The sequence below is a fragment of the Homo sapiens genome, chromosome 12 (genome assembly GCF_000001405.40).
Source record: "Homo sapiens chromosome 12, GRCh38.p14 Primary Assembly".
Lineage (NCBI taxonomy): Eukaryota > Metazoa > Chordata > Mammalia > Primates > Hominidae > Homo > Homo sapiens.
The window spans coordinates 96049933-96061785 of NC_000012.12; the positions used below are offsets into that span (position 1 = coordinate 96049933).

The 11853-nt window shown below is 43.2% G+C and overlaps 1 long non-coding RNA gene and 1 pseudogene across 1 annotated transcript; one reads left to right on the forward strand and one right to left on the reverse strand.

Moving 5' to 3' along the window:
* The first annotated feature begins 2715 nt into the window (after window positions 1-2715).
* Window positions 2716-3621, forward strand: LOC124902990 (uncharacterized). Its single transcript, XR_007063413.1, has 2 exons — window positions 2716-2814; window positions 3412-3621. It is a non-coding gene; the product is annotated as an uncharacterized LOC124902990 (long non-coding RNA).
* YPEL5P3 (YPEL5 pseudogene 3) lies at window positions 9408-10498 on the reverse strand (annotated as a pseudogene).

Consider the following 11853-nt stretch of genomic DNA (forward strand, 5'->3'; position numbering starts at 1 on the left):
GCACACCCTCAATAAATGTTTGCAAATTCTTTACATGTGCTAATTAATCATATCTTAAGATGCAAAATACATTGAGGGCAAGGTTTACTCTTAACAATGGTCAATGTAAATCCTTACTTTAAATAAGCATCTTATAATTATGATTTGCATGGGGGGCACATTTTGTCAGATCTTATTTGTCATCATTATTTTGTTTTGTTTGTTAATACACTCATCTTATCTTGGAGTAGGAGAATTATTAGGTCTGTTAATCTTTCTTGTTGCTCACTGTTATTTTGCTATGGCAGCTCAAGCTGAGACAGAAATTGGTACCAGGATGGGTGCTGCTATAACAAATGTATAAAAATAGCAAAGACGTGGAATCAACCTAGGTGCCCATCAATGATGGATTGGAAAAGAAAATGTGGTACATATACACAATGGAATACTATACAGCCATAAAGAAGCTGTCCTTTGCAGCAACGTGGATGCAGCTAGAGGCCATTATCTTGAGTGAATTAACACAGAAACAAAATTAAATACTGCATGTTTTCACTTATAAGTGGGAGGGAGATAAACACAGGGTACACACAGGCATAAAGATAGAAACAATAGACACAGGGGACTCCAAAAGGGGAAAGGGAAGGAGGGAGGAAAGAGAGTTGAAAAACTACCTATTGGGTACTATGTTCATGTTCACCATTTGGGTGACAGTTCAGCAGAAGCCCAAACCTCAGCATTAGGCAATATATTCATGTAACAAACCTGTACATGTACCTCCTGAATCTCAAATTAAAATAATACTACTACTAATAAAGACCAAAGTATTTCAGAGGGAGGAAGAATTTGCATGGTGAAATTTGCGTAGTGAAATTGGCATCCATATGGTGCATAAGGGATATCTTTGGATCTTCTGAATTACATTATATACATTTTTTAAATTAAAATAAATTCTAAAAATGTGGAAGCAGTAATGATGCAGGGTGATGGGTGAAGGCTAAAAGAGTTTTGAGATACATGCTACAAAAAGCCAAGGTTGCTGTGAAAAAATTGCTAAAGATGATTCTGGTGAGGACTCAAAAAGAGCTTCTGTCTTCCTTCTTTGAGGATGCGTAAACAATCGTGAACAGAATGCTAGCAGAAATATAGGTGGCAAAGGCTATTCTGTGAGGCCTCAGATGGAAATGAGGAACATGTTATTGGACAATGGAGAAAATCCTTTTTATAAAGTGGCAAATAACTTACTGAATTGTTTATGTTCTAGTGTTTTGTGGACGGTAGAACTTTCAAACAATGAAATTGGATAGTTGGCTGAGGCCATTTCTAAGCAGAGTGCTGAAAGAGCAGCTTGGTTCCTCTTGACCACTGATAGTAAAATTTAAGAAGAGAGAAATGAATTGAAGAAGAAATTGTTAATCAAAAAATAACCAGCACTTAAAGATTTGGAAAATTCTTAGCCTGTCCTTACTGCAAAAAAAATGAGAAACCATGTTCAGAAGAGTTAGGCCAAGCATGGTGGCTCCTGCCTATAATCCCAGCACTTTGGGATGCCAAAGCAGGCAGATTACTTGAGCTCAGGAGTTCAAGACCAGCCTGGGCAACATGGTGAGACCCCATCTCTATTTTAAAAAATAAAAAAAGAAAAGAAAAGAAGAGATTATTAAGAGTGTGGCTGGTCACCCATTTGATAAGGAGAGTAGTGTGAGTATCAACCATGGACCTAATCAGCCATCTCAACAGAAGCCAGAAATAGAGTTGGGATTATTCCAGGAGAAATAATGCTTTAGTCCCCTGCCAGTTGGGACTAAAAGGAAAAGAGAAAACAAGATGGAATGAAGTAAGGCTGTGAATATGCAATCCCCTTCAGGAAAAGAGAGGAAGGATCCCAAAGGCAATTCAGACATCATCAGGGCTGCTACTCCCACCACAGGCCCAGAGTGGAAAGGCCCCTGGGAACAAGGCTACCTCCATCTTGGTTTCAAAGAGTGGGACTGCTACTCAGCACTCATGTGGGTGTGGCCCTCACAGACAGCCATGTGGGCAGTGCTACACTGAGCTGAAGAAGCAGGGACACCCCACTGAAAGATGGGGGTGATACCTTCCAGTGGTTCTGGAAGGGAGGACCACCACCCCAGTGGGCCTACAGGGCAGAGCATTCTTTGAGCCAAAGAGGATTGTATTTCAGTTTTAAAGCCTAATGAAGTTTGACTTCTAGATTTTGGATTTCTTGGTACTTGTCACCCCTTTCTACCTTTCAATTTCTCCCTTTTGGAATAGGAATATCTATCCTGAGCCTGTTCCATCATTGTATTTCGGAAGCACATAACTTGTCTGGTTTCACAGATTCACAGTTGGAAAGGAATTTTGCCTTAGGGTGAATTTTGAGTCTCACTCATATTGGATTTACATGATATTTAGATGAGACTTTAAACTTTAGAGTTGATGCTGGAATGAGTTGACTTTTGAGACTGTTAAGATGGAATGAATGTATTTTAAATGCAAGGAGGATGTGAATTTTGAGAGGGACAAAGGGCAGAATATTATGAACTAAACGTTTAAGTCTCCCCCAAATTCATATATTGAAGCCCTAACCCCCAATGTGAGGGTATTACGAGGTGAGGTCTTTGGGAGGTAATTAGGTTTGGATGAGGTCATGAGGGTAGATCCCTTGTGATGGAATCAGTGCCCTTATAAGAAGAAGAGAGACTAGAGCTTCCTCTCTCTGCCATGTGAAGATACAGCAAGAAGGTGGCCATCTGCAAGCCAGGAAAAGGGGCCATGGCAAACACTGAATCTGCTCACAGTCTGAACTTGAACTTGTCAGCCTCCAGAATTGTAAGAAATGAATATCTGTTGTTTAAGCCACCCAGTCTATAATATTTTGTTTTGGCAGCCTTAGCTGACCCAGGCACTCACTTATGCTTACATTCTAACTTCTAAATTAAGGCTGCAATATATGAAACATGATCATAGAACTTGTAATTATCTGAGGATCCAGAAAAATCACGAGCCTGCACAAGGTTTATCCAGAGGCAGAGGAAATACCAGTTCACTGAGAAAAATTAAAGGGACAGTAGAAGAATAAAATATAGTTGTTTATAATTGTATGTTACAAATTATGTTTGTGAAGCCAGTTACATAAATAATCTTAAAGATTTAATAGTTTCTGCCTGCATCCAAATAATTGCCATGTGCCTATGTCCATACGCCTATGTCCATACTACTTTGGAAACCTCTAATGAATGAATGTGTAAAGTTTGGATGGGTATTTGAGAGGGAAAATACTTCTTATGAGGTTGACAGTTATAAGCAAAGTTAGGAACAAAAAGCAAATTCAGAAAAAAACTCATCTTTTGTTATGGTCTAAATGTTTGTGTCACCCCCAAAATTTATATGTTGAAATCCTAACCCCCAAGTTGATGGTATTGGCAGATGGGGCCTTTGGTGAATGGAATTTGTGCTCTTACAAAAGGGACTTCAGAGAGCTTGTATGCCCTTCCACCATGTGAAGACACAGGAAGAAGGCACCATCTATGAACCAGAAAATGGGCCCTCACCAGACATCACATCTGCTGGCATCTTTATCAAGGACTTCTCAGCCTCCAAAATTGTGAGAAATAAATTTCTGTTGTGCATAAGCTACCCAGTCTATGGTATTTTGTTATAGCAGCCTGAATGGACTAAGACACACTTATTGAACCCCCACGTGTTTTTCTGAAGAATGAATGCCTCACATTTTACACAAGATGTCTGTGTGCACTGGGGCCGTCTAGTCTACCCTGGCCTGGTGATCAGGGCAGGGAATCACTGAAGTTTCCCATTCTCTAAAAGTGGAGGAAATGGCAGCCATGGGGAAGCTGCCTTCTGCTAACACAATTGAGCCGTGAAAACAATATACAACTATTTTTGTTATATTCCAGTGGTCACACAGAGCAACCCCAATACAATAGGAGGGCACACCACAAAGCCATGAGTACCAGGAGGGGTGATCACTGGGAGACTCCTTGGAAGCTGGCTGCCACTGTGAGGCATTATCTCTGTTTCACAGAGGAGAAACAGAAGCTCCAATAAATAATTGCTCAAGTCAACTCAACTTGGAACAGGCAGGTCTGGGGTTCAAACCCAGACAATGAGACCCCAGAACACATCCTTTTAGAACACTGCCCTATACCCTGGCCTCACCACAGGCCTTTTTTTCTAACTTCCTCTCTTCCCCTCACCGCGCAAAACATTGCAAATGAGATTTTTCCTTTTTCTTAGACCATTTCAAAAGTCATTGTTACTTAAGGGTGGAGGTTGGAAGATTTCCAAAGAATAAAATATACAGAGAATATCTAACCAAAGTTCCTAACACATACACAATTCAGAAAATGTAACTCACAGACAAGGGATAACAAGACCATTGACCCAATTTCAGAGCTTGACGTTTACAAAATGAACACAAGGCAGTGTGGGTTGTATGCGCGTTCTGTTCAGTTTCTCTCCTTTGGGGTTGTTTGGGTCAGCCTGTTGTCTCATGAGACTGGGTGGGCTAAATTGAGCAACATTTTGCTATAATAAGTCTGCAAGATTAGACCTTAGGCAACAAAAGCCGGAAGGAGAAACTACATTTCCTATAAAATGTGGAACTGTGGGATAACAGTGTAACAACACTATGACTACAAACAGGGAAATTTATATATGAGAAGGAACTGGATTGTATGTTACCTATATAAATGATCATGAGAAAGTCATGTTGTTCTTTTGTTGTGATCTTTTAAACCAAATTTATAGTGCATTGAACCAAGTAATTGTAGGCCATTATTTTAAAGTAGGTTGTAGCACAGCATGAATTAATAATCACACCAATTTTATTTTACTTCATTGGATTTATTTAGCAATTGTTTTTAGCACTTCCTATATCCCAGGCCCTCTTCTACGCACTTTAAATGTATTAACACATTTCAATTAATCCTGGCAACAGCCTGAGAGGTAGGTACTATTACTATTCCCATTTTACAGATGGTGAACTGAAGCATGGTGCAATTAAGTAAGCAGCCAAGATTCAACCGGAATTCAAACCAAGCAATCAGGCTCCACAACCTGCCTTTTTAATCTGGCTCTCTGCCTTGTGCAAAAAGATGGTGAGTTAGTCCGTTCTCGCACTGCTATAAAGAAATATCTGCTGGGCGCGGTGGCTCACGCCTGTAATCCCAACACTTTGGGAGGCCGAGGCGGGTGGATCATGAGGTCAGGAATTCAAGGCCAGCCTGGCCAAGATGGTGAAACCCGTCTCTACTAAAAATACAAAAATTAGCCAGGTGTAGTGGCAGGCATCTGTAATCCTACCTACTTGGGAGGCTGAGGCAGAGAATTGCTTGAACCCGGGAGGCAGAGGTGGCAGTGAGCCGAGATTGCGCCACTGCACTCCAGCCTGGGTGACAGAGCAAGACTCCATCTCAAAAAAAAAAAAAAAGAAGAAGAAGCCAGGCACGGTGACTCATACCTGTAATCCCAGGACTTTGGGAGGCCGAGGCGTGTGGATCACGAGGTCAGGAGTTCAAGACCAGCCTGGCTTATGGTGAAACCCCATCTCTACTAAAAATACAAAAATTAGCTGGGTGTGGTGGCAGGCGCCTGTAATCCCAGCTACTCGGGAGGCTGAGGCAGAAGAATCACTTGAACCCAGGAGGCGGAGGTTGCAGTGAGCCGAGATCGCACCACTGTACTCCAGTCTGGGTGACAGAGCAAGACTCTATCTCAAAAAAAAAAAAAAAAAAAAAAAAAACCCTGAGAGTGGGTAATTTACAAAGAAAGGAGATTGGCCAGGCGCGGTGGCTCATGCCTGTAATTCCAGCACTTTGGGAGGCCGAGGCGGGTGGATCACGAGGTCAGGAGATGGAGACCATCCTGGCTAAAATGGTGAAACCCCGTCTCTACTAAAAAAAAATACAAAAAATTACCCGGGTGTGGTGGCGGTTGCGTGTAGTCCCAGCTACTCCGGAGGCTGAGGCAGGAAAATGGCATGAACCCGGGAGGCGGAGCTTGCAGTGAGCCAAGATTGCACCACTGCAGTCCGGCCTGGGCGAAAGAGCGGAAATCCGTCTCAAAAAAAAAAAAAAGAAAGAAAAGAAAAGAAAAGAAAGGAGGTTTAATTGGCTCATGGTTCTGCAGGCTTCACAGGAATCCTGGTGGCTTCTGCTTCTGGGGAGGCCTCAGGAAGCTTCCAATCACGGCGGAAGGCAAAGGGGGTGCGAGGTGTCTCACATAGTGGGAGCAAGAGCAAGAGAGAGCTAGAGAGGAGGTGATGTACACTTTTAAAAAACCTAATCTCACAAGCACTCACTCACTATCACGGGAACAGCACCAAAGGAACAGCACCAAGGCGATGATGCGAAACCATTCATGAGAAATCCGCCCCCATGATCCAATCACCTCCCCGCCAGGCCCCACCTCCAACACTGGGGACTACAATTCCACATGGATTTGATGGGAACACACACCCAAGCCATGTCTGATGGACACATAGTTTATTTTCTTTTGTGACTCTGCATAGGCCATTCTTGCCACTGGGACCCCTTCCCTCCCAATCCTCCTGGCTTTCCCTGCCTGTCAGCAAACTCCTGCTCCTTTTTCAAGCATCAACTCGGATTTACCCTCTGCTGTGATGTCTTCTGTGACTCACATGCAGATTTAGGCACCTGTTTATTGTGTTCTCAATATATCTTACCCATACTATAGAAATATTTGTTGTTTTTTATCTACCTAGTGTTAAATTAAATAAGCACGAGGCCATTGGCCAGAGGCCCTCTCCATATTTTGAGTTTCTGTGGAACAAACAGCAACCTAATAGTATGTAAACAAACTGAAACCTAATTTAGGAGTATATTTTTGTAACATATAGCCTGGTTTCAGCCAATCACAGAGAAGCTTCAGCCAATAATAAGCATCCAATTGATGAGACCACGCCCAATAAGGCAGATGCCTAGCTGTTGCCGATCAAGTGGTTTCTCTACATTGCTTTTGTGTTCACCCTAGAAAAGCTCATTGCTCACACTGCCAAGTGGAGTTTTCTGAACCTCTTCTGGTTCTGAGTGCTGCCTGATTCATGAATCATTCTTTGCCCAAATAAACTCTGTTAAATTTAATTTGTCTAAACTGTTTCTTTTAACACTAGCTTCTATTCCGCCTTCTCTGACAAGCGTTCAGGAACCCACCCCACCCCCACCCCGTACTTTGGGTGTAGCCCATGTGATTTAAGTCTAGCCAATCAGAGCACTAAGGAGCTACAGTTCAGAGGTGATCATGAGACCCAGGTTCATCGAACTAGAGTGAATCCTGGGACTGAGCATGAGCGGCTGGGAAGAAACACACAAGTTTTTGTTGCAAGTCTGGAGCTGCTAGCAGACTTCACATACTGCCTGAGCATGAAGCAAAAATAAAGAGAGTGAAAAGAATGAGAGAGAATGGGAAAGAGTCTGCTGGTGACATTATTTGATCCTCTGAATGATGCCTCACTTAAATTCAAGATATATTCTTGGATTTTGTGCATTAACAAATTCCCTTTTTGAGCTTAAGCCTGCTTGATTTATCTATCATTTGCAACCAAAGGAACATTAACCAATAAATACATTTCACTGTATATCTGTGTCTATATATCTATATGTATTTCATTTTACCAAGGTGTCTCCCTACTAACCATAATTCTTTGAGGGCAGTAGATGCTCAATATTTGTCAAATGAATTCAGCTGAAGGGTGTTTTGAAGGAGACTGACCTTAGAGGAGGGACATTTTAGGAAGGCTAATGGACTTAGTGTGAGATGTGATCAAGGGACTCAACCAAGTTGAAGAGTAGGATTGAAAGGGAAGGGACAAATACCAAAGAAAGATTTAACAAGGCAGTGATACAGAGTGGGGTGGAGCAATAGTTAGATTAAAGCCTGAGTGCTACCCTGTTCTGCGTATTTGTTTCTTTTGGTGTCTCTTTAGCAGCCAGCCTAAATTAAAAGTTTATTGTACTGGCTGATTATTGCCTGTCTAAATCACCCGTCTCTGTTAGTTTATCACAAGTGAAAAAATTAATGATAGAGAATCAGAGACTCACATATAAGCAAATAAGCATGATTATTATAAGAAAGAGCTTTTATTAAACAATACTTTCAGGTCTTCATAAGAATAGGGGTAGAATTTCAGAGACCCACATAACTCAGTGTGCAGTAAATGCTGCTCCTGGGCAACTTAATGGAGCATAAACTGCCAGCAACGGTCCCAATTGAAATGGAGACTGGAAGGTGAAGTTGTCCTTCCTTTCTGTAACCACCAGGCAAGAGGACACTTGTAAGGTGTGAGTAGCAGCACCCAAAAACCAGCTGCAGGACTCAGTGGAAGGGAGGAATAAGGTCACTCTTAAAATCCTATCACCTCACATAGAAAAATAGCTAAGTCCTAATTAAGCTCAACATCGCCACTCTCAGCTTATCCCTGAGACAGGTCAGGAGAAGAGGGACCATTTGCTTTGCTCTGGGATTGTTGCACTTCTGCAATCTGACTTTGTAAAAAAAAAAAAAATTAATTTAAACAGTTGCTACCATATGGGATAGTGTAGCTCGATGGTTTCTTTCTCTCTCTCGTCCCTCTCCTGCTCTGCCTTCTATGTATTTACCACCCCTCTTGCAGAAATGCTCTCGTGGAATGTGGCTTTTTTTTTTTTTTTTTTGAGATGGACTCTCACTCTTGTCACTCAGGCTGGAGTGCAGTGGCACTATCTCGGCTCACTGCAACCTCCGTCTCCCGGGTTCAAGCGATTCTCCTGTCTCAGCCTCTCAAGTAACTGGGATTACAGGTGCCCACCACCATGCCCAGCTAATTTTTATATTTTTAGTAGAGACAGGGTCTCACCATGTTGGCCAGGCTGGTCTCGAACTCCTGACCTCACGTGATCCACCCACCTCGGCCGCTTAAAGTGCTGGGATTATGGATGCGAGCCACCGTGCTCAGCCGGCTTTCCATTTTTTTTTTTTTTAAGAGATGGGGGTCTTACTCTGTTACCCAAGCAGTGGCTTGATCATAGCTCCCTGTAGCCTTGAACTCCTGGGCTCAAGCAATCCTCCCACCTCAGCCTCCAGAATAGCTGGGATTACATGTGTAAGCCACTGCACTCGGCTAATTCTTTAGTGTTTTGTAGAGATGAGGGTCTTGCTCTGTTTTGGTCTTGAATTCCTAGGGTCTCCCTATGTTGCCCAGGTTGGTCTCAAATCCCTGGGCTCAAGTGATCCTACCACTTCAGCCTCCCAAAGTGCTGGGATTACAGGTGTAAACCACTGTACTGGCCAACTTCCTGTGTTTTAAAAATCCTCCCAGTTGGGGCCAGTGCCCTAACCTAATGGATGCACAATGAGCCAGTTGAATGTGGCCTCTTTTAGTCAAAAGGAAAGATTCTTTTTTTTTTTCCAAGTATTTCTTTATTTATATTACTAGGCTTAAGTTACATGAAGAAAGACAACTAAGCAGTTCTGCCCATTTCAGAAAAAGTTTCCAATCATCACCAATTATGTGACAACAAATAACTAGGAATGGTGACAGCTTTGGGTCAAGACCAACAAGGAAGAATGGGCTCTGGTGCTACAGTTCATTTCCAACAAGAATATGGCACACCAGCCAGCACAGCCATGCTAACACTGGGCCTTCAGTGCCAAGCACAGATTCAGATCTATTCTCTGAAGTTAGCAAATCAAGTGAAATAACTGGAATTTTTTTTAAGTTTAAAATGAAGCCCAAGTAAGTTTAAAACCATACTCTTGTCATATTTTCCTTTCAAAATTCACATAAAACACACTTTTCATGCCAATAGCCCAGATATTTTTTCTTACATAACCCACTATGTAGCTGCAGACAGACTCTTCTACCTCAAGATGTAAACACAGGGGAAAAAATTAATGGCCATCTGTCTAATATTCTCTCTATACACTGCTGTTGGATGGAAAATACAAAATTTTGTTTTAAAGGTTCCATCTTAGATTCTCGCAACCTGCAGGTCATACATCTGACTCTGATGCTAAGGTGACAGTGAATGTCACCTGATGTTTGTTTTCAGTAAGGGGGATCTGGGAAGGATGAATTTATCTCTTTTTCTTCAAGAATTATCAGATGATACATGCTCCTCAGAGCCTTCACTCTCTTGAACTTCAGCACTTTCCAGGATCACACAGCCTTCCTTATAACATGGCTATCTCCAGTGGCAAATTCATAAATCCACCCCGGTTTGCTATTGCAACTTTTGCAGCTCACATCTTGAACCCTGTGGCTGCCAGTGAGCATGACCAGATCTTAAAGTTCACTGCACAGCAGGTTAACGACCTTGTTAAAAGGCCAGGGCGCCTGTGAACTGAGTGGAGATGAGTTCTGGGCGGTTGGTCAGGATCATGTCAGTTTGCACAGGAACACAGACAGGTACCACCGATATGATCAAGGAAAATTCTGCCCATTTTTATAGCTGAAGTTCTAAAATCTCTGAGTGGCGATGAGATCCATGGCTGCCAGATCTCCTCGCCTGGGATGAAGGCCCCAGGATTCTTGACAGTTAATTAAAACCAGAATTCATACTGAAGCAGGAAATTTTCCCTGACCCCTCACAGGAGGGGGAGTGCAGGTGAGTGGGTGCAGGAATTGGGGCGAGTGCTTTGGGGCGCTGGCAGGAGCAAAACTCCATGAGGCCCTGCAGCACGGTCTAGTGGGGTACCCATGACTCCTGAAGCCCCAGAAAGAGTGTTACAGTGCTCTTTTAGCGTTGCCATCTGTGGACAGCTTAAGTGTTAATAACTCAGTGGAAAGTCAGTGTGACAGCCTTTTGCACTCGCACCCAAGTTCTCGTTCGACATCTAGGAGGAATGAGGTCACACAACAAATTGGAGGTGGTATATGTGGGGGATTTTATTGCCAGTGAAAGTGGCTCTCTGCAGAAAGGGGAGCTGAAAAAGGGACAGAGCAGGAAGGTAATCTTCCCCTGAAGTCCAGCCGTCCCTGCTGGACTCCTCTCGAAAGCTACAACGTCAAGCCGTCCGGTGTCCTTATAAGAAAACAGCCTTGCTGGTTGCGGTGGCTCACGCCTGTAATCCCAGCACTTTGGGAGGCAGAGCAAGAGAGAGCTAAGGTGGAGGTGCTGCACACTTTTAAGTCAAGCTGCTTCTCCTCTCTGCCGGCTGAGTTCTGGGGTTACTATAGACACAAGATGGGGGCAGGGCAGGCTGTGGGTGGTTTTGGAAAAGGCAACATTCCAGCAGGAAAACAGGGATGTAAGTTTTCACTTTGGGCCGCGGTATTACGCTTTTCACCTTGAGGCCGGGGCCGTCGCTGGGGACCCACCCTCTTCTGCCCAGAATTTTTCTGCATCCTGTCCCTGTCAATACGGAATAAAATGGTACACTGCCATTTCGCGTTATTCATTTTTTTAAAAATACATATCCTTTAAGCTGGTTATTTACCTCTTTTTAAAAGGAAACTGTAAGGTCTTCCAGGGCAGGGAGTATGTCTGTAAAGCCTTCTAGAGCTGGGCTCCTTGCTTCCTGATCTCACTCTCTCACTGTCTGTAGGCTCTTGGGCAGGTTATTTAATTTCTTAGTGTCTCAATTTCCTCCTCTATAAAACAGAGATAATAGTATTTAGCCCAGAGGGTTGTGGTGAAGTGTGAATCATTTCTCCATGTAAAACACATAGGACAGGCTGGGCATGGTGGCTCACGCCTGTAATCCCAGCACTTTAGGAGGCCTAGGCGGGTGGATCACCTGAGGTCAGGAGTTCAAGACCAGCCTGGGCAACATGGAGAAACCCCATCTCTACTGAAAATACAAAAATTAGCTGTGCGTGATGGCGCACACCTGTAATCCCAGTTACTCGGG